Source organism: Homo sapiens, chromosome 7, assembly GCF_000001405.40.
Source record: "Homo sapiens chromosome 7, GRCh38.p14 Primary Assembly".
NCBI classification, from domain to species: domain Eukaryota; kingdom Metazoa; phylum Chordata; class Mammalia; order Primates; family Hominidae; genus Homo; species Homo sapiens.
Genome location: NC_000007.14, coordinates 8,591,394 through 8,616,038, shown reverse-complemented (window position 1 = coordinate 8,616,038; position 24,645 = coordinate 8,591,394). Strand labels below are relative to the sequence as shown.

The following is a 24,645-nucleotide window of genomic DNA, read 5'->3' as shown; positions in this document are numbered from 1 at the left end:
TAATATAATCTATCTTTCATTTTAATGTGGTCACTCTGGCTGCTATGCGGAGAATAAGCTTTAAGAAGATAACGGCAAAAATAGGGAGACTATGTAGAAGTCTACTGCTTCACCTGTTTACCTCTTATACTTTATTTCCCTGTTTCATTTTCTGAGAAGTCTTTCCAATCTCCTATATGCTCTTATAACCCATGCAGCTGTCATTTATGTAGCACTTGTCATCCTTGCAATTTTACATTTATTTATGTGATTACCTGATTAACATCTGTCTTCTCCACTGGTGTGTTACCTTCTTCAAAATATGATTCTTATCAGTTTTCCTTCTCCAATCTTTAGCAAAGCATAGAATACCTTTGGTTCTCAATAAATGCAAGGAAAGGGAAAGAAGGAAAGAGGGAAGGGAGACAGGCAGGAAAATATTGACATAATAGTTATTTTACAGATTCTGATATAATTGTTCCAAAATGAGGCAATAATATGGGACAAGCAGAGTCAGATTATTTTTGCAATAGCTATAGGAAAGATTATGCCCTCCCATCTGAGGGAAGTGTGGATCACCAAGAGATAGCAGTAACACCTAACATCTATTGAAAGCTTACTAAGTCCCCTGTACTCATTTAAATTATCCCATCGAATCCTCTCAACAACCTTAAGAGGTTTGTATCATTACATTTTTCAGATGAGTAAATGTACTCAGAGAGGTTAATTACATAGCCAATAAGCTACAGAGCTGAGGGTTTGAATCCTCATGTTTAGCCACCATGCGCACTGCCTCCTGCAGGGACAGTCAATAACAATTTTATTAAAGATTTAGCTCCCGCAATCCCATTCCTGAAAACCCATTGTGTCAAACAAATAGCAGGGCTCAAATGCAGATGAATTCCTGGGCACATCTAATTCGTACATTTTCCCCCAATAGAAACAATTCCAATCAGCGTCATACAGTTTCATTTGAAATTGTAATGAGGCACAACAAGTAAAAAGAAAGAAGAGATGAGAATTAGAAATCAGAGCCAACTAACAGTAGAAGCTAGGAAGCTGTATTTGCTGCAGAATTAAAATACAAAACAGAATCTTTAATCTCAAACACCATTTAAAAGACCTTTGCTTGTTTAATATATTAACAAAGAATATAATTTAGTGTTACTTTGAGGCATAGAATAATTCTTATTTCAGGATGTTCAATAAGAACAATAACTGCCACAAAATGAATCTCTCCTTTTGATAAATCTTTACAGAGAAGTAGGAGAAAAGTCAATTTAAGCCTATATTTTGATATTCTTTCATCACAGCTGCATAATCAAACATAGAGTTTCTAAAATATTTATGGCAACTTTTATCATTTAAATCTTTCCAGTGAGTTTCATTTTTCCCAAAGAGGAACTTTCCTTTTTCCAAATGGAAACTATAGACATATACATACCTACATATATGTATATGGATATGTCTCTATCTCTAAATGTGTATGTGTATGTGACATATACACCTATATGTGCACATGTATGTCTATTTCTAAACGTGTATGTATATATATGTATCCATATCTATAGACATATGCATAAAATCTATAGACATATACATATATCTACATATATATACACATACAGACATATATGTCTATAGATATGAATACATATATATAGCATCCTCTCTTAAACAGCCAGTAGGAATGTAAACTGGTTCAACCTTTTGGAAGGCATTTAGAGAGCACACATAAAATTCTTACAATGTTTGCATTTTTTACCCAATAATACAATGTCTAGGTATATGCCGTATAAGAAAACAGTTTTAACTACAAGTATAGCTATTCCATTATATTTTATAGTTGTAAAAACAACAACAAAGATATAATCTATCTAACAAAGGGAGACGAGTCAATAAATTATGGCACATCCACGGAAATACTATGCAATAATTATAAATAAATCTGTAAAAGTACATTTATCAACTTAGGACTGTGTTTAACACTATACTATTAAAGTAAAACAAATCAGAAATAGTAAACTTAGTATACTCTCACTTTTATAAAAACATTATGGACAGACACAAAACCATAAGAACAGTTATTAAAACAATATTAGTCGTTGAAACTAAGATTATGATTTATGATATAATTTTATGAATTATATATACACGTGTGTTCAGTCTATATGTGATTTATATGTATATGTGTGTGTATGATTTTCATAGATTTTTAATGAAAAAAGATGGCCAAGATATATGTTCCTTTCTAGAAAAAAATTACCAATGTTATTAGTTAAAAATAAAATCCCTATAGCCAGTTACCTTAAAAAACACTATGAGATATAAAATATAGATAATCAAAGTCAAAGGCTTAAGATATTGAATGATACAATAAATAAAATAAAATTTATCCAACAGCCTCTACTAACTGTATTCTGAACCATAGATAGATAATGGTTGCTGGTCCCTTTTTACAAAGATATCCTACATTAACCAGTCATTTTCCCTAATCTGCATTTTCCCTAAGCCTTTTAAGATTGTTAGAAAGCTACATCAAGTGTCTTACTATAATAAAAATACCCTCTGTGTTCCCACTCAGCTTGTTAAGGAATCAAAGAAAGAAATTAAGTTAGTTTGGCATGATTTGTTTTTGATGAACCCATGGTGCCTTCTAATTATCACATTATTTTCCTCCAGATGTTTGCAAATTGAGTGAGCATAGAGATTCTCTTTGTTGAAATGCACCACGAAAGCCCTGGACAATAGACTATATTTGAAAGCTTTTGAGTTACTGGATTTGCTAGCATTTAAAATGGAGCTTTTCTGGCTAAAAGAAAATGTGCGCAAAACTTAAAACATGACTATAATTATTGAAATTGGCTATGTGAAAGTAATGGAGATAATGATTGAAAAAAAAACCCTCTGAATCCTATATATTAAGGAAGACTCAAGGTAGTAGTGGCATGAAAACTCAAACATGGTTATGTAAATGTGGATACACATGTACAGAGTGATAAGTAAAAACACACATATCCCTATAGTTTGGCAACACACTGACCATCTTTATTATTATTTTTTCACAGAAAATTGAAAGTTAGTCTGCATTCCCTGGTCACATCCTACCCAACAAAGCAGTTTCACTGCAGCATAGAATCCCCTGGTGCATAATTGAGACCTAACTTCAGGTAAGGTAAACAAGGAAATGAAGCTGCATTTTTTCAATATTTTTATCTAATATCAGCAATAGCAATAAGTAGACAAAACACTCGCCAAGAAGGCTGACCTCTGTGTCTCTCTTTATTTACAAAGCAAGGTTAATGATACCAGGCCAGGAAAAGGGTATAATGAATGAATGAGACAGACTGTGAAGACAGAATGCTAACAAAATAAGTAGTGGTCTAATATCAAGAAATAAGAATATAAACATGGAATCTTTTAAATATTCTCTTTGGACTGTAACAGGAGTAGAAGCAAAAGGCAATGTTAGAATGCAGAACTGATTAGACTCTCTTATAACTTAGCACATATGAATGCTTATTAATTCACTCTTGGCAAAACTGGCCAAGTCAGTATTTATATACATTTAATGTAATAGCATTGGAATGCTTATAAAATTTCAAGTTTAATCAAGTGTCTCTTGAGTGCTGCTACTAGCACTATATCTCCTCTTCTCAAAACTATGTTTGAGAGAAGAAAAGAGAAGCAGGGAGTCACCAAAACAGCCTTTATTGCAGCCAAATTCCCTGAGCTGCTTGATTATATCACTATAAATACTCAAAAGGCAGAAAAAGAAAAAAAAATGGAAGGAAGGAAGGAAGGTAGGAAGAAAGGAAGGGGAGAATGTAAAAAAAAGAAAGAAAAAGAAAGAGGGATGGAGAGAGGTAAAGTAAAGAAAAGAGGGAGAAATGACAGAAAGAGAAAGGAAAGAAGGGGAAGGGAAAAAAAAGAGAAAAAGAACTCAAACACTGAACATGCCTTCACATATTCAATTAGCTTTATAACAACTTGAATTCCCAAAGAGTCAGTTCTTGATATTCTTTATTACTCTGGAAACTTCAAGAAATTTACAATCTTGAAATATTTATAAATGCATCTGGCTCATTCTGAAATCACATTTCCTTCTAGTGTTACATGCACGCTGGGAACTTTCTGACATTACAAATTAATTGCCTAAAGTTTCACTGCTAAGAATATTGTAGGACAATTCTCCATGTTACTCTAGACTTAGTAGTACCAAGAACACACAAAAGAGCCCTGCTGAGAAAGAGATGCTGAGTGGCTGGATAGATGCACCTACTACCTAACCAAAGTCTCCTATCATCACTTTACCATGAACTTTATGCAAATTTGGCAAAATTATGCATTCCAACATACCAAGAGATCATTGGAGTTATTGAAAACATATTTGTTAAATATGCCACAAGGTTTAACTGTACAGAGCAAGCTTTAAAATTTTTCTTTCCCTATTTCAGTGCCTTCCTTCACAAATTCACATCAAATACTTAGGATTTTCACACTGAGTCCTGGTGAAAAAACCCTCCACTTTGACTTCATCACCTATTGCTACTGATAGTGATCAACAATCCAAACGATTCTCTGTCTCCCTTCCTCTGTCAATATTCTTACTTTATGCTCATTTCTTCAGAGATTTGGTCTTTAGCAAGTAATCTGTAGAATGGTGGTCTTGACCATGTAACGCAAGTATTTTCAAAGACATTTTCTCAAAATACAGTGATTTAACCCAAAGGAAGACAGAGGTAATTGAAAACCCTAGGGCCAGCCGATTGAGAGAAACTTGGGGGTAAGGGAACATTTTAAAAGCCCATCAAATTATATCATGTAGTCTTCTGCCTGCCCTTCAACAATCTAAGTACTTTGATTTGATCATGGCATGTATCATAATTTGTATACATGTATCAAAATATCACTCTGTATCACATAAATATGTACAATGATGTGGCAACTAGAAATAAAAGGAAAAAATGAGAATGATAACTCATTTGCAATTTCTGTGGGTAAAGTGAATTTGGCACAGAGTACAACTCTAAGCGGCGTTTCAGCCACAATGGCTATTATCCAGACCCAGTGCTATTGTGACTCAAGTTAAGTGCTGCCTAGGCCCTTAATGGCTATTCCATTGGTGATACCCTCCCAGCACACTTGTTCCATGCCCACCTGAGCCTCTTAAACATTTGCATATCCCTGGAATAATATTTAATAGCAGTCTGCCCTCCTGTTCCAAAAAAGAGCCTTTGATATCTAGTGTGTTGATTGTACTATGGAGATGGGATTTAAAACATCCACCCTAATTCAGTTGTTCTAAGTTGAAAAAAAATTACACAATTAATACATGTTAATCATATAAAAATTAGAGGGAATGAATCAACAAAAGGAAGAAAATAGAAACCAGTTGTAATCATACCACCCAGAAATAGCCCTGTTATCATCTGGGGATCTACATCTGGAAGGATACATATTCTCCTTCTTTCTCTCCCCTTTCTAAAATTGTACTGTTCTATGTGGTACTTTTTGTGTATCCTATTATTCCTTACTACATGTGATCAATTTTTCTGTAATAAAGTTCTGCAAAGGAATTTTTAAGTTATGTTTTCTGAAATGTCATAAGCCATAGTGATGTGTGCTCCTCTAACACGTCCTGTGATAGAATCATGAGGAATGAAGATCTGGAAATAGACAGAAAATTATAAGGAAAGGGGAGAATGTTGACAGGTGTATAAAATTCCTAGCTAATTCAGTGCAAATTCCTAGCTAATTCAACATTCTTGTGCTATGGAGAGTGCTTGGTTTTCTGCATATATCAACCTATGCATTAATTCACAGAAAGGCTCTCCTTTCTTAGAAATTTCAAAGGAAAATATTTACTACTTCCCTTAATTGGAATCATATCTCTAATGCTGTTAGTCAAATGTGAAATTGCAACCAAAATTATCTCAAAACGATTATAAAGTGCAGTTATTTCTGTTAGCAATTTCCATTTAAAATAAAATGTTATGAATTCTTCATAGCTATCACTCTAGCAAGCAAATAAATCAAAATTAAAGTTCAAAACTCTTACCATGTCCAAAAGCAGTACCTCTAAATCAAACAAGTAAATTTTAATAATGCAATACCTTCTTCGCCAAGGGATTTGAAAATCTGAATGGGAAAAATAATCATCCTCACTTATTTTAACAACAAAAATGCTTTCCCTCTACCTGGCTTAAAATAAAAGACATAATTCTCCCTTAGAACAGCAAAATATAAGGGAACTGCAGTCTCTGTTATGTTAAAATTAATAGACAAAAATAGCTCTGAGAGCTTGGGAGAAAATATATTAAAATTGTGTCATGTTGAGATCATTCTTTGCTCACATAAAACCATGAGGCTAATAAAATCTACAACACAATGGAGGACATCACACAAGTGATGGGATTTTTGTCTGTAATACTAGTTTAAAGATAACTGCCCTCAAACAGTCATCAATCATAATGTGCTTTGTACCAAGAAATATCTTTTCGTCTTTCAATCTTTCTGAAAGTGTCTCAAAGTACGTCACAGTCATAATCTCAGTTCTGAGTTCATTTCCTCTCACAAGATCCATTTGCATAATACCAGCTTCTTGATATTTGAGGCAACATCATGAATTAGCTAAGTCTTGGGTTTCTCTTCATTCTTTCTTCCATTGCCAGTTTTTTAGACTGTTTCTTGATTGTTATATTCTTCGTCTACAAAATGTAAACTATAAAGCCCTTACGTATAGTGCCTGCCATAATTTTAGAATAGAAGGTTAAAGAATCGTCTAAAATGATGTTTTTGGGTTTTTTATTTGCTTACATGTATTGAGCTTCTAAGCTTTTCCTAACTTACCTAGCTTAGCTAGCAGACATTAACCATCTGTAGAATAAGAAAGCCAGAGATATATCTTTGGACCTAATATATTGTTAAATAATATATGAATTATGCACACAATAAGTCCACACCTAAAATCACTGATAGGTTCTTGTAAACAGTGATGTCAAGCAAAATGACTCTCATTTATATCATTTAAGCTGGGATAAAATTTGTTTCATTATAGAGTAGTCATTTCCCTTAAAGTCAAGTTTCCAAGAACCTATCAATGACATTAGGTGAGGACTTACTGTATATATCCCTGTTCTCATTTTAATGTTGTACCTAATTACACAAGTAATTTTTAAGTGTGATCAAAAACTCCCTAGTATACCTGTCAGTACTTACAATATGACTCTTTGGATTTTTATATAAATTATTAAAATTCCTTATAATCATTTGTCATTCATATCACACGAAAAATGGATTCTTCTTTGGAGTTTATTTTAAGTGAAGTTTGTGGTGGTATTTTGGTGGGGTAGTTTCTGTTATTAGTGTCATATGACGCACAAAAAAGTCAATGTTTTCAAAGCTGCAAATCAAGAAGATGCAAACCTCCATATTTTTAAAAAAATACAGAAAGGGCCATTTCACTTCCCTCAAATTTCTATATTTTACTTGTCTCTCTTCTCACTCCACCTCTGCCACTACCTCCATTCTTATTTATCTGTTAAAAATACCACTAGGCTGGGCATGGCGACACATCACTGTAGTCCCAGCTAATCAGGAGTGGGAGGCTACTGAGGTGGGAGGCTTGCTTGAGCCCAGGAGGCTGAAGTTGCAGTGAGTTGTGACCACTCCACTGCACTGCAGCCTGGATGACAAAGCAAGACCCTGTCTCAAAAAAAAAAAAAAAATCACTGAATTTTTAAGAATTTGTCCTAATGAATAATTCTTGGACTTTCAAGACTTCCATTTATCCCTGAGAACAGCTGATCACTTCCTCCTAACTAGCTAAGTAGTTAATCTATTATGGTTAATAATTCAAGTAAGAAATTTGTATTAGTTTCCTCAGGCTGCTATAACAAAGTACCACAAACTGGGTGGCTGAAAACAATGGAAATGTATTCTCCCACAGTTCCAGAGGGTAGAAGCCAAAATTAGGGAATCAGCAAAGCAGTGTTCTCTCTGAGACTCCGGATAGAATCCTTCCTTACCTCCTCCCAGTTTCTGGTGGTCACCACCAATCCTTGGCATTCCTTGGCTTGCAGCTGCATCACTCTGATCTTGACTTCTATCGCCACATGGCATTTTCCCTAGGTATGTGTGTGTCTCTTCTCACCTCACGAGGGCACCAGTCATATTGGATTAAGAGTCCACCTTACTTCAGTACGACTTCATCTTAATTTACATCTGTTATGACTCTATTTCCAAATTGGGTCATATTCACAGGAACCAGATGTTAGGACCTCAACAGATCTTTTTGGGGAACATATTTCAACCCACAACAGTATCCCATAAAGGCATAGCCAACACAATTATAACAAAGCAAAGGGGTCTAGCAACATATTCCCACAGTTCAATGTGAAAACCATCATAGCTGAGTATATGGGATACTCTATTTCCAGAGGATATAATAATGATTTTAGAAAGAAAAGAGTCAAAGTTATTTGCCAGAGTTAACCTGAGTTCTCTTCTTAGGCAGTTCTTCTAAGTACAGAAGTCTGTTGCATTAATAGCCAAGGGCAAAATGTGGTCTGTAGTAATTATACTGATAACATGATCAACTAATGAAGTTCATTAGTCTAGTTGATGGAAACAGGAATTTATTGACTTTTTTATTTGCCACTAGTTAGTGAGTACTGTATCGAGTGACACGATCCAAGAAAAGTATGAAGCCAAATGCATTCTTCTAGCAACTCATTGGTCTTAATTAAACTGTGCTTTTAACTCATTTAAGCAAAATCACCCAGAGCATGTAAAATTTAAACACCTATTTAAGCAATAATATATATAAGTACTGTATTAATTATGGATAGGCCAATTATTGCTACTAAATTTAAAATGTTCCAATGTGATTTCACACTGTTCAAGTTCAAACTTCGAGTTAATTTTGTTAATTTTACTATAATTTAAACTGTATTGGTCCCAGGATATATATGAGTCCAACCGTATATTTGTCCCAGGAAAAACTAGAATTAAAGCCCCAACTAAAATTATTCAATAAAATATGTCCTCAGATTACCAAATTTACTAAGAATAGGTTATATTCACAAAACATCAGAAATCAAGCAATCAATAAAATTAGTGGTTTGCTTTTCAAGGTAGAAATATATATCTAGAAAAAAATAAAAATATTTTCAAGAAACTATATGTTCTCATCATCTAATCCCAGCTTCCTACCAATTCTGTTTTTTTAGATTCTTCAGAAAGTAGCATCACTATCATGTCTTGATTTACAAATATCATTCTGCACATATTCACTGGACTAGGAGGATATACACTTAGATTTGAACCAAAGACCCTGGGCAAATATGTCAAGTTTACAATATGGCAGAGGCAATTCATTTAACAAGCTTTTGAAAAGGCAGAGTGAGAGGGCAGCAGTCCTGTATCTTTGCCCAGTACAAAAGGAGGGTCAAAAACCATGCCTTAACTTCCAATGCCTGGCAGAAATTTTATACTATGCTTGTTTCAGATGGTTTTCTTGATCCCCATTATGTTTTTAGCTCAGCAGAGGAAAGAGACAGTTTTTAAAATGTCACAGTGGGAAGTACTTTAATATTGAGTGGTAAATCCCCAGAGGCAAATGCAAAATACATCACATTGTTAACAGTACCTTTGAAGCAGGCACAAGATTGTTCAAACAAGTAACGTAGGTTTCTTTCCTTTGGTTGAAGTTGTATGTGGTTAGGGGTTACGTAGGGTGGGGAAAAGGAGAAGAGTTTTCCATAAAACATATTTTTTTTTATTCTTAGGTGTTTTATATTGTACTACAAAATATACAATTTTCCTCTCATCTTCTATCAATCTGTTCATCTGTTTCCTAAATGTAATAAAGGAAATTATATATAGAACAAACAGTGATGTTAAATTGAGTACTGAATACCTGAAAAGGTCAACTTGTCTGTTGTACTATGTTTAATAGCATCATTGTAGGTCATTGCTACCCAATCCCTTGCACAAAATCACCAAGAACTATTTTTACATATTAGACACAGGAAGAATTATGAATATTCATATGTGAACTAATTAATTTTCTGGAATGACAGATTCTTTCAAGGAAAAAATGTTGGCCTCATTTTATTTATTGTATGGAAGAAAATAACAAAGATGTATAACAACTCCAAACTACAGTCTCTGGAGATTAAAATCAAGAATGGTGCTTTTACAAAGCTGCAAATAGAAATATTAAGATCTTCTGAAACTTCCACACAGCCCCTTCTGATGCCTTTTGATGCTTTTTCTTCCTAATCTTATTTGATTTTTATTGTCCCCACTCTAAAAGATTTAACTTATCTATTTTCAAAAGTGCTTAGATTTTCGGTATCCATTGCAACTCTTTTGTAGGCAAAATTGGTATTTTGATCTCTGACGTTGAACATCTGCAAACTAAATTTATATGCATGATAATGACACACAATCATAAAGGATGTGAAATATTCTGTCTGTGTTATAACAGATGTCAATTTTTGTTGCTTGTTATTACTAAAAGGGGAAATGGAGCTCCTCTCTGTGACAAGTAATGTTGCTTCTAATCCCTAGCAATAAATGTACCTAGAATATGTGCAGAAGTGGCACTCAGCCTGAATATCCATCACCGTTTTGATTGTTTGAAATGCATCTGGTCCCTTTGAGTATATTTACTGTGATTACCCAGTTCAAGCCTTTTCACATTATTGCATGTGCCTTCAAATGACAGTAATGAAAATAACTGCAACCATTATTATAGGTTTTAGGACTTTGCCATCTGTTGAGTATTAGCCTTTGCCATTCCCCAACTGGCATTCCAGTGAGCCAAAATTACACAGAAGCTACCCTATAACACTGCATTTTTATATCACCTTTCATTTTCCACACATCAAATATAAGGCATTCCTTAAACAGTCCTATTAGGAATCTAGTAATTAAGAATGAATCTGAATGAATTCACTTGAAGTTATTTCAAATGTTAAAATACAAAGGAAAAGCTATAGAAGTAAATATGGCAATATGGTACGCAGTTCTGACAATTAGCAATGATGTACAATGTTGTGATATTTAAGAATCAATCTAAAATGGTGGAGAAAAAATGGCAAGCATGTTACTATTTCCATATAATATAAATTATTTGGAAGTACTCAGTGTATCCCCTCTATGACATGAATAAATAGATTTGGGCTTATTTGAGGCTACAGACTTCTAATTAATCAGAAAGTCAGCATTTTGACCAGCCACAAATTTGTAAGAAATGTGTATTCACAAATCTCAAAACTGGTATTTGTTTATGCTATTGCCACTAGTAGTCTAGTACCATATTGGAACCTGCCTATAATATCTTGTTTTAGAAAATAATTCAGGTACAAATTCCAAATCACAAATAAGGCATATATAGTATGATAAAATATTATAGATTCTAAATTGCAATGAAAAACATATAACCATGAAGCTCAAAGTTTGACTGAAAATTATATTTTTTATATTGTTCACTTCAAAGCCCCTCTTGCATAAGTCAATTTTAACCAAAAATGTGGTGAGAGAAAGGCAATCTACTATGTAACAAAGAAAGGAAATCATACAGTAAGAAAGCAGGAATAGCGCAACTAAAAAGAAAATGCAGGCGAAACCATTTTAGTGTATTTTCTCATTGTAACACCTTATATTCCATTTGTACCACTCAAAGAGTACATTCAGTGTTGGGTACATTGTAGGTAGGTGCTCAAGATATGTTTTTGTACAAGATAATTAGAAATATAAAAGATCAGGCTATATTGAAAAGGGTTGCAGAGAACATTGAATCAACAAGTTTAAAAAATACATGATGTTTTATAACAACTTAATCCCAATCACTTCTTATATCATTCTAAATGTACCAAGTAGTACATGATTCTGACTTAGAAAATGCCACCAACATTAAGGGCAGCTACCAGCTTAGTCTTTAGAAGAAAGGATAGAACCATCCACTTTTTTTTTTATTTTTTTCCTCATTTGCACACCACTGATGATATCGCATAGCTAACACACTATCTTCATTGCATTTGTCCCAAGAAAGAACAATGATTTGGGGTGCTCATTTTAAAGAATGTGTAAGAATAGATTTCAATAATAGTCTTGATATTTTTAGCAGAATTAAAGATTTACTTTCCTATGTTCAATTAGTTTTTGAGAAAGTAAATAAGGAAAGAATAAATAAGCAATAAAACATACCTGGAATGACTTTTTAATTAAAAGAAAAATCCAACAAATAAAGGAGAGGATGCCAAGGAGATTACACAGTGTGGTGAAAGATAAAATGCATTCCTTCCTACTAAGATCCTGGAGAGAGTAAAAAATAAAAATAAAAAGTGTGTACCTTTCAATGTCACTTAGAGAACAACCAAAAACAGTAAAATTATATTCTATCCAAAAGTAGACTTGGAAAAATAATTCTAATAGGTAAAAGCTGAAAAGATATCACAAAATGTGGAAAAGCTAAACAAATGATAGTAAAGACCCATGATACCCAAAATGATGAAGGCAGACTTGAGGGGTCTTAAGCAAATGGGTGGAATCCTCTACCTGGAAGGTGGCTGATGACAAAATTATTGATTCAATCTTAATGACAATGTGTCCAGCTGAGCAAAAAAACAAAAACAAAAATAGTAAGAACAATAACGTTTAAAAAGGTGATAGTGGCTATTGAGGTCACTAAGAACACTCTGTAATACACCTTGCTACCTGGAATAATACTTAACTGTATTTCTATTCAAAATGCTTTATACTACTGAATAGGTTTCAGAGTAATAAGCTTACTTCCTTCAAAAATGTTCCAACAAATTTGGACATAGCCCATGTATGCTCCTTACTTACAGTCAATAACAATTCAATTCAACAAATATCTCTTAGGCATTACCATATTCTAGGCATTATGCTAAGAGCTGCAAAAGACACAAGGGTAGACAGAGCACGGTGGCTCACGTCTGTAATCCCAGCACTTTGGGAGCCCCAGGCAGGCAGATCACCTGAGGCTAGAAGTTCGAGACCAACCTGACCGACATGGTAAAACCCCGTCTCTACTAAAAATACAAAAATTAGCTGTGCATGGTGGTGGGCGCCTGTAATCCCAGCTACTCGGGAGGCTAAGGCAGGAAGGCAGAGGTTGCGGAAAGCCAAATTTGTGCCACTGCACTCCAGCCTGGGCAACAGTGAGACTCCATCAAAAAAAAAGACACAAGGGTAAGTCCACTATTGTTGAGTTTGTACTATTCTCTCCCCAGCCAACAGGAACATGATATTGGAGCTATGAAGGTGGACCCTGCCTTTATACAGATAATAGCAGAGTGGAGAACACTGACAGTAAATGAGTCTTCACAACAAATTGTGAGAATGACAATCCTCTCCTTCCAGACTTGAAATCTAGTAGAGAAAACAGTATGTAAACATGGAGTTAAGGAAAGACTGAGAATTATGCTTAATATAAATGAGCTGAATAGCAGAGTAAAGCAAGACATTAATTCTGAGAACATTCAAAGGAAAGAGGATTTGAACAGCCTTAGCCAGATGGATAATGAAGGGGAAAGGGCATTTGAGACAAAGGAACCCAGTACCCAAAACTGCACCTATTCATATGTCAGAGACCAAAGTATAAATCAGAAAATTTAAGGGGAAACAGTCAAAAGACCATGAGGAGTCTTAAAAACAGGCCAGGGAGACTGAGTTTATTCTATAGACACAACAGAAAGCAAGTAAAGATTTTTGAGTTTAGGAATAATGTGTTCAGATCTCTAATGAAGGAAGAAAAATTTGGAACACATTCGTGGATCACTTACAAAACTATTTTAAATATAAAGAGAAATAACTAAAAAAGCATATAACACCAAAATATTAACAAAAGTAAAATTTTTGAGTAACAGAATTTAACTACTCTTGCCTATTGGCATTTTCTAAATGTTTTACAATGAACATGACTGGTGTTTGTACTCTTAAAAGCAAGTTGTGTACTTTTCTGATATACTATATCCACCAATACTGAACATACTAATTATTATTACTATAACATATATATAAGAGATTGGAGGCAAAAGAAAATTGAAAGTCATAAAAGTATTTAACTTTCAGTATTGATTAAGCTAAAATGTGGCCATTGGTCTTCGGTCTGGACTTTTATTGTAACTGATTTAAAGCCAAATATTTCCAGCAGCCAACAAATGATGGCATTTTACCGAATATCCTGCAGTCTGGTCCTAGAATAGCATTGTGGCTCTGAGTTACAGGAAGAACAGCCAGTTGGATCACAAATCTGGGAAGTGAAGGAGTTTCTCATCACAGAGCAGCTAGGCCCTAAATAAGCACAAGGTCACAGTGACTTCCTGTATTTTAGGGAATTGGGTCCTGACATGATCTATTCCATGATGAGTAGATGTACCTCTTATGGGACTTGTCCCTATTTTCAATGAAAGACGATTCAAGCATAACTTTGGTGAGGACAAGGGTCAACATCACTAATCATTCCTGGAATAATATACCTTGGTCTTCACATGAGGAAGAAAAGGAAAATGGTGAAGGGACTGAGAACTTTTCATCCTGAAGAACAGGTAGAGAGCGCTGAGAACTTGGGTAACCTCAGAGTCACTGGATACACCAGTTTGGTAGCATTGTCTTTTTGCATTTTTTTCCCTTAATGCATTGAAAAGTGATTTGGCAACAAAAATGATATTTCTTTCACTTCCTCTTAGTCTGGTTCTCCTATGACCAAACACCATAGTAGATTAAAATTCAGATACTAATAAAAGAAGTTTGGTTACTTCCTTTAATGGGATTTAAAAAAAAAACAGAAAAGAGAAATGATAGTAACTAATTGCATAAGGCTCAGGAAGGAAGAAATTGTGATCACCATGTGGAAAAGTATATAAACTCATCCCTCGGTATCTGAGGGGCATTGGTTCCAGGACCTCCTGTGGATACCAAAATTTGGGGATGCTCAAGTTCCTGATATAAAATGTCATAATATCTGCATATAAATTATGCATATCCTTCCATATACTTTAAATCATCTCTATGTTACTTATAATACCTAATGCAATAAATTTTATGTAAATGGTTTTTATGCTATATTATGTAGACAATAGTAAAACAAAAAAAAAAAGGTCTACACATTCAGTACAGACATAACTTTTTTTAATCTTTTTGATCCAAGATTGGTTGAATCCAGGGATGCAGAACCCAGGGATACAGAGGGACAACTGTATATACTTCTGTTTTTAAACAAAGTGTTTGCATTTGTATGGAGTCCCCTAATGAAAACAAAGTGGTTCATTTATATTATGCAATAAAATTTAAATACTCTTGTGAAACCAAAAGTCAATCATAAGTAATAGAGAAGAGAGAAGGTTCAATGAAGGCAAGTGGCTTAAAGTTCAAGACTTAGAACTAGTTGTCATACCACTTAATCCACATTTCTGCTCTGAACATCTACGTCTGATCTCTCCCAAACTGTCCTAGACAGAGCCTAGACATTGATGCAGGTCCACACAGCAGGATCTGCAAACCAGATCTGACCACAGTGACAGGCCTTTCACATATGTGGTGCACAGAGGTACGTCAAGTAGATGGTTCAGTTATGCAATCTGATACCTGGGAACTGACACTAAACAGATAGATCAGAGAAGGAAGCCAATACCACCAGAAGCCAGTGGGTCAGGCACTGAATGGGCAAAAGCATAAGTAGGAAATAAATTGAACCTTGCAAAATCTCCTGATTGGGATTTCAGGTTTCCAAATTAGCTTTTTACATGGTTCCTCTCAATCACTGGCATGGGTTTCCAAGGATTCGGTTAAAAAGTCAACACAGTAAGAAAGTAGGCCTTTGCCTACTTTCTTATACCCCAGAACGAGTATATACCCAATGCCCTGCAATAATCATTTTTTGAATATTTATTTACTGAATCAAACTTCTCATTTGAAGACCAACATCATATAAATAAATATTTTCTTAGAAAGAAATTTGAAAATGTTGGAAAATACCCTCCACCAACGCCACCTTCCCTCCTTCAACTACTAATACTGTCTTCAGATAATTCTCACTCCCACAATCCCACATCTTTCATTTCTTAAGCTCTTCCTCCAAAATTAACCTATTTTAGCATCTGCATAGTTATCGTAATATGACTGAAAGATACATAAATAATGACTAAAGATGAAAATTATATTTGCTACTAAACTAATACCAACAATCCCTCCCTTCACCAAAAAAAAAAAAAAATCTTCCTATCTAAGGGTAACATGGGCACAAGTTATGAACAAGTGTGGTTAAACAGCACTCTGTAATGGTGCTGTTTACTGGCTCCACTCATACTAGCCTGCAGTACTAGTACAATAAACCAGGTCTTGAGTGCTAACAATAGTACAAATTGAAGTGATTGAACTTAGTGTTTGACAGGCAGGTAAGAAATGAAGGAATTGAAGGCAGTAAGACAAACGGGTGAAAATCCATGCCTGATGAATAGGTAATCCTAAATTAAAATGCAGAAAGACATGAAATGGCAGACATAGGTGCCTACCAGATCATGGCAGACCTCATACACTAAGCCAAGAAAATTGAATACTATTGTACTTACTAAGTGGGGAAGACAGGATGAGAATGAGATTTTCAAAAATGATGAGCCCAGAGGAGTAACACAGCATTAGGAAATAGAAGGATTCTGAAAGCCACAACAAAAGTCATGGCAGGGAATTGTTAAGAAGATGAAATCGTAGAGCGTAATGACCTTCGTGAGTGCTGATGGCATTCTCTCATCCTGAATGTCCAACCAATCCCATGCCACCTATAACTATCCTTCTCACTCCTAAGGCTCAGCTCAAATATTTTCTCTTCCAGGAAGTCATCTCTTTGAGAACTGCTTCTTCATCTCTTCTCCCACAGCCTTCTATTTGTTCCTCTTATAACACAGTTCATTCTACATTGTATTTGAGTTAACTGTTTGCATGTCTACTGCCTCCATTATATCACAAACTCCTTTAAAGAGGGTCCCTGGCTGATTCATCCAATTATACCCCTTCTCCCAATAAATTTAGCACAATGCCTTATGCATAAAAGTTTGGATGAATAAATGAACAAATTGAAATGTCTCAAAGAGACACTTTGCTGATTTTGCATTGCTACAGACATAACCAAATCCCAGAGCCTACAGCAGGCATACAATGATCAGAAGCAATTAGGCTGGCTTCAGAAAACTCTTACCAGGCTATACAGAGAAAAAAGGAGTAACTGAAACATGATCTATTTCAAGAAAAGCACTGATATTTGTTTCTTTACAGAAATATTTCTCTTTGCATCCCCCTGCAGATCATGACAATAATAACAGAGATACAAGTACATTTTATCTGTAAACTGCAAACAGAAAAATACTGACGCTGTACAAATATACTTATGGTTCACTCAATAAAAAAGGTTTCTTTTCCCCTACCCCCTTGCTTCCCATTCCAACATTAAAATGGAAAAAGAAAACTCATCCTAATTGTTCCTTAGTTAGGAATAACCAAGCAAGGGCCCTTGGCGCTCCAGAAGAGTCTAGTTGCGGGAGAGAGGGGAAACGTGACAAAGATAGCAGCTTCCCTTCTTTAGTTACAACTCCACCACCAAGGAAGGGAACCAGGTCTATGTGCCCCAATATTAGCCAAAGAGAAGATTGGATACTAAGCTATTCATTAACAACTTATCAAGCATTTTGGATCTCATAATTGAGACGGGGTGAATTATAAAAGGAGAGCCATGCAGGCCTACTGGCTTCTTAAGAATTCCTCAGTATTAATACCACTCCTCCCAAATCCCTTTGAGGATAGCTGCTTAGACGCTGGGAGAAAATAATTGAACAATTTCATGGTGACATTAAACAGCAGCTCATAATTGACCTCAATATGAATAGCAATAAAGATGGAGAGGATGACATATGCTCTATATATGAGCATGGGCAGGATTCAAACCCTAATGCCTTTAACTCCATCAAGGAAAGAACACATGAGAAAACTGCTTAATAATCATGCAAAGCCTATTTGCTTTCTATAGCAGAGCTGGAGGTTTTCATATCACCTCTGCTAATTGACTACACTCAAATGATAGGACCACTCTCCGCAGTAAAAGAACTCTCAGATTTGCATTGATCCAGGAATTGACTGATTTGGTAGTGCCACTTGTTTGCTAAAAGGGCATTTCAATTGGCCAAATCAAAGTGAAGTGTTGTGCAATTTTCTGTGTAATCAGCATTAACAGTAGCTAAAGAATGACTGGTCTTCAGAGTAGTAAGGCATGTTGCCAAGTAGAAAGGTGATAGCTACTGCTCCCCACACTGCCCCCCCGCCCCCCACCCGGATCCTCCTTTTACATCCTGGACCTGACTACATAAGCAGAGCTGGAGGCATTTACTCAGTCTTCTAATTCTTTAGACAACTCTGATGACTGAATGAGCAAATAGAGGCTGTTTGATTTTTAAAACTGGTTCCTCTGAGTATCTGTCCCCATACAAATGTACATTAAAGAAAATTCTAGACATAAAGAAAGTACAAAATATCACTGAATGACTCATCAAGTAATTGTACAACCTTTATTCAAACTCACTATCTTCCCCAAGCCTGCTTTTACTCTTGTATTCCCTAACACAGGTGCTCTACCATCCACCCACTTGCCCACCCCCATTATCTTTGGTTAGATTCTAGCACTGGACCCGAAGTGGTCTCCCAGCCACCACGTCTGTCCACCATGCATGTCCAACTAAGCAATCTAGCTAAATAAACTTTACCCTTTAATGGCCAAAACATCGTACTCTGGCTGAAAAGACCCAACTGTCTTTGTTGTTGTCAGTCTCTATTCTCATCTCTTGAACACTTCACCCACTCCCACCCCATTTAAAAATTTATCATAACTAGTATCTGCAGCTCTATGAATTCATGTTGTAGTAGCAAATCTCTTATATTTGCTAGACTCTTCCCTCAGCTGTGAATGACCATCCCCACTTTGCCCACCTGGAAGGGCTCTCTTTATCCTCAGTGCTTTACCAAGGTGTCACTGACTCTGTAAGCTGCCTTTCTTCCCATACCAAGATTATTCCCACAAATAATATTAATAGTTCCTTTTCTATAGGATTCCTGCACGTTGCATATAGTTGTTTGATTATATTTATCCTACTATATTAAAATTGTATGTACCCATTCGCCTTTATTAGAAGGTGAGCTCTTCAAGCACTACTCCCAAAGTAAAAGCAGTGATTCAGAACACAGGCTTCAGAGTTCCCTGATTTCAAGTACTAACATCAGCCTTTATCAACTGCATGACCTGGGCAAGTCACCTAACCTCTCTGTGCCTTAATGTCTTAACTGTAAAATAAGGATCATGATAATATATACCTTAGAGAGCTATCAGGATTATTAGAAAATCTGATTTCTATAAAGCTTTAGCATAGTAAATGTTTAATGAGTGTTACTTATGATATTGAAAGGTAAATGACACCCATCTTTAATCTCCATTGGACACATGGTAGACTCTTAGACATGACAGTTAACTGGCCTGCATAGGCTGACTTAAGATATAATAGTAAAGTTCATTCCAATAAAAAAACACTTTGGCAGTGGTTGATGTTAGATTTTGTGGGCCATTTAGCAGGAAACATTCTTCCAAGAGCCCTAATAACTAAATGTCTTCATTAACTCCTTCCAGGTACGCTATTCTGTCACTTTCCAAACTCTAATTCTGAAGCACTCTTATCCTTTTTAAGGTTTTATTTCTGTACCAATGCTGTCATTCTGTTCCTGAACAGAATTTTCCCAGGCAATTCAGAATTAGCTCATGAGCTTACATACTTAGCAGAAATGAACTTTCCAATTTCAACCACTCTGCTCACCTTAGAAGAAACAGGACTTCAATAGTCCTCAACCTTAACTAATTTTATAAGTATAAAAATTGAATAATGCAAAATCCCCAGGAAAAAAATATATAATGCCTAAGTGAATATATATACCATTTGTTTTCTGTGACATGTACATCATAGACATATCAAACTTGCATGCTAAATTTTTTAAAGGGATCCGAATGTCAGTACAATGTTAAATTTACAAATTAATTCATCTGAGTAACTTAAAAATCACTTAACCTATTATTTATCTGTCCTTATAATAACCTTTTAAGAGTAGAGAACAGGCTGTAAAACCGAGCCTCAAATGGGTACATAATCACTAAAAGCGATGGTAAAGGATGATGTTTGTTCAATTTTCCTTTCATTACGGAAAGAAACTTGAAAAATTCAAAAGAAAACCATCCCTCCCCAGAAGCGCACATGCACACGCACACAGACACACACTCACACACACAAATAACTAAGCTCAACTAAAATATAGTCAGTATACTCTTGAGTTCCGTAGAAGTCAGATACACTTTCACAAATTGTCAGAAGTTGCAGCATTAAAAACTGGATTTTATCAAATACTTTTCAAACAAATGCCTAGCAGATTAAATCAATATTATGTATCCAATGACTAATTCATACTTACAATGTTTAAGGATTTTCGCTATGTAAACTAAATTATGAAATTACTATATATATATGTTTACAATATATTTTACCAAATAATTTCCAGATGGTTGTCATTTTTCAACTTTTCAACTTACGGTAAACATGGCTTTAAGTTCATTTTTTCTTAAGTAAAAAATAAATCATTATTTCTACATCCAATGATATTTTAAATGCACTAAAATTCATTACATGACTTCTTTAAATGCATATTTGTTGTCTTTATTTTATATTTTCTTATACTGGGGTTGCTCGAAGTGACATAAGCCAGAATTCTTGAAATCAAGTATTTGTTTATTTATTTATTTATTTATTTATACTGGCAGAAGTAACACTCCTTCTTTATACTAGAGAAAACCAAATGTCATTTTTAAAAGACAGATAAAAGTGTGCTTCCAAAGAACATTATGATGATGTTGCCATTGAAAATTAGGGCCAAATAATTCTCCAGGGTGACCTTGAGATTCCACTTAGTGTAGAAGCTGTAACTTCACTTTTGTGAACCTCGGTAGCTTTGTCAGGTTCAAGAGCTTTTGAGTCTTACCTAGGTTTGCTCACCTTTTGGTGTCTGCTTCCTGCATTGCTAATTAATGGAAATACACACTCAGCCCGCAGCAAATTCAGGAAGTTTATTCCCCATGAAAATCTAATGAAAAGGCTGAGCCTACACAAGACAATAATTTGTTTAAATTTGAAAATGCCAATTGGAAGCGGCATTGATTCTTTAGGGACACCAGGTTTCTATTAAGTAGAATCTTCCTTCCCTGAACCAGAGTAAAGTCAAGTCGACTTCCAAAGAAATATAACTTGCCACCAAGGCTCCCTTGAGAAGGTTCCACCGAGGCCAGACAAAACTCATTTCTCTTCCCCCCAAGTCCTCATATCATTTTGTGGAAGCCAGCTGCGGAGGTCAGAACCTCCTCACTTAATTTATTTTGTTCACAGCCTTGTCCCACAAACAAGCAAAGAGAAACATATTTTTAAGCTTGAATGGCTGCTTTATAGGCACATAGACTATGCATCTATGCTGCTGATGTACACTGTAGTTAAAAAAATATGCTTTCTCTGTTTCCAGACTTCTAAACAGGGTAATGTCAACTCCCTCCTCCAGCTGTTCCAGGCAGTTATCTTTACCAGCTGTTTACCATCGTCAACAATGACATACTTCTGCATGTCTGAAATATGTGAAACTTCAAAACGGCCCTTTCATGTTTCTACCCAAGGTAAATATCAAAACACTTCCTCTTCCTGCAAATACTACAGAGTGAAAAAGACTCTTTTCAAAACTACTGTAGCTTGTATGCGTGTCATTTCATCAGCATTCTCTTAACATTTACCATTCAAGTAAACGTGGGGGGTGGAGTGTGGTGGTCTAGTAAAACGTGGGCCTTTCAAGGTAGATAATCATTAGGGATCTTGAAGAATTCTGGCTTTCAGAGAAACCTTTAAAACAAAAATGCCCTAAAGCAGTGGTCTTCAAAATTTGTTGCTATCATACCTCCCACAAGAATTTTGAAAAACTACCCACTTACATGTTTTTAAGTTGATGTCTAAAAATGTTATCATAAGCTGAAATGTTTGTAAAAATATATGTATTTTTGTATGTAACGTATCGTGTATGCTTTAAATATATTTTTACCAAACCAAGGTACATTTTGGATCTTCCAATCTATGGAAAATGTCTGTTATAAGCAGAATCCAAAATGACAAGGCCAGTTCTCATTGTTAAAAATATTAGCCACTTTCTACATGTTAACGACAGTTTTGTCACATCTGAATTTTAATTTTAAGGTAACTAGGAAGGGAGATGAAGAGGTCCAGAGACAGCAAGACATCAAGACAAACTGGCTACTGGTGTATTATTAATGAATTTCTTCAAGCTTTTTCTATTTATTTACTCATTTTATTTAGATTTTGAAAGCTCTTACATTCACCTTTAATTGACCCCACAGGCACAATTTAAAAACAAGAAATTAAAGAATTCCCCATGGTTCAGGAGACTAGGGGGCAATTTATTCCACAAGGGAAGAGAAATCAACTTTTTTGTTTTACAAGATTTGCATTTGAAAACTGGAAATATGACACTAATTCTACAAATATGATGTGAAAATGGCATCCAGGATTTTAATCATCTTTCTAATCAGTTTTCAGGGCCCTGCTTTAAAAAGCTAAATTAGGTGGGCAATATAAATATGATTGCTATGTATTCCCAAAAATCTACAGTTCATAGCCACTTCCAGAGAAACCATTTGAAGGGCAGATAACCCGTTACCGAATGCCTCCTGTAAGTCCATCATTCCTGTGGAGGGAAACAAGACAAATAGAAAAAAAAAAAAAAATGCTTCTTACTCTGAGAAACATGCAATCTGCTTAGGGACTAAAATTTATACACCAGAAACTATTAAGAAATCATTCTGGGAACCCAACAAATTGTTAATGCTGTGAGGCATTTGAGTTAAAGAAATGGACCTTGGAATCTACCAGACCTGGGTTGGCTATAAACAACTTCCCAGTGACTCCAGCTTCTGTGTTGGTAAAACGGGGACAATGAGGAGAGCAGGTGGGAGTAGGTAAATTACAGCCCCTGGGCCAAATGCTGCCCAGTGCCTGTTTTTGTATGACCTGTGAGCTAAGAATGGTTTTTACATTGTTAAATGGTTGGAACATTTAAAAAAAAAAAAAAAGACTATTTCACAATATGTGAAAATTATATAAGATTCAAACTTCAGTGTCCAAAAATAAAGCATTACGGGAACACTGCCACACCTATTTATTAACATATTATCTACAGCTGCTTTTGTACTAAAACAGCAAAGTTAAATAGTTGCAACAGAGACGATGAGCTCTGTAAAGCCTAAAATATTTACTATCTGGCCCATTGTGGAAACATTTGCCAAGATTTCTGCTTTAGTGAATTAAAAGAAATAATATGAATAAAATGGTTAACATACTACTTAACATATAAGTCCTCAATGAACAGTAAATATGATGATTGCTTTGTAAGAAGCTATAATTTAAACCCAATTTACAACTTCAAAAGTAAACAAGCCTACAAAAGGCATGACTTACCCCTAAGTGGCTGCTAAAGCCCCTACAAAATGGAAATATGGGCACGGTTTAAACTATAACCATGAAATGCACATAAACCTGTCATGCATGGATTATGGAGAACTGACCACCAGAAAGCAATTGTTGCTATATTATGTATTGCGTGACATTTGAACAGATGGTGACTGAATTCTTCAAGCTTCTGCCTACCCCAGGACTCTCACACATCATGTCCCATAATGAGTATACACCTTCCTCTGCTCATCCCAGCTTTCTCCTTTCCACCTGTCAGGTCTTCCCTTAAATATCACTTCCTCAATCACTTCATCCTAACACCTCTTTGGTTTCCTCCATAGTACCCTTACAGTTATATATTTAGATGACAACTTTTGACAATCTTTCGCCTCTCCAGATTATCCCTTAACTCCAAGAGAAGAGTGACACAATCAGTCTTTGTCACCATCATATGCCTGGCTCCTAGAAGACTGAAAGATGATAATGAGTATCTGTTGAATGAATGCCTGTAACCCTGAAGGTCACCATTAAAGGACAACAGACAACTTGTCCTCAAACATAAGGAAGTGCAACTAAAGAGACTATCAAAAAAAAAAAAAAAGAAACCTCAGCCCTTTCACCCTCCCTTTCAACCCAAAGTCAGCAAATACAGTGTTCATTAAGTTGTGAGTGAAATTTCAAAATTGTCAGCAACAAAAATATTTTGTGTACCTACCACATTAAAACACACTTCTAGGTGCCAGGGGAAATAAAACTTCTATATGTTAAAGTTCTGACTCCTCAGAAGCTCACAGTACAGACATAAAATTCCAATACAAAGCAGGCTTTGCAAATAATGGAATGGAAACACAAAGTTTTGCAAGATTAAGGGAGAAGAAGAATGTTCATATTGGTTGAAGAGATGTGGAAAATCTTGGAGGAGATAAGAATCTTAAAGCATGATAAAACTTCAAAGACAACTAGGAGTAGGGTATTTCCAGCCCAGCTTGAGAAAAGATACAGGTGGGAAAGCAAAGAAGGTGTTCAGTAAACAGCCATCTTAGTCAACTAAGAT

General features: G+C 35.3%; 1 protein-coding gene and 1 long non-coding RNA gene across 4 annotated transcripts in view; one reads left to right on the top strand and one right to left on the bottom strand.

The window, feature by feature from the left end:
* The window catches only part of NXPH1 (neurexophilin 1), a 319,353-nt gene that overhangs the window by 136,923 nt on the left and 157,785 nt on the right, over positions 1–24,645 (bottom strand). The gene's annotated exons all lie outside the window — the stretch shown is intronic.
* LOC105375144 (uncharacterized) overlaps positions 1–24,645 on the top strand; it is a 67,939-nt gene that overhangs the window by 16,425 nt on the left and 26,869 nt on the right. For 2 of the 3 annotated variants that reach the window (XR_007060208.1, XR_927017.4), the window contains exons 2-4: positions 3,048–3,149; positions 21,604–21,751; positions 23,989–24,070. This is a non-coding gene — a long non-coding RNA (uncharacterized LOC105375144). Of the gene's footprint in view, positions 1–3,047; positions 3,150–21,603; positions 21,752–23,988; positions 24,071–24,645 lie in introns of those variants that run through there. The other variant, XR_001745084.2, reaches the window with a different exon arrangement.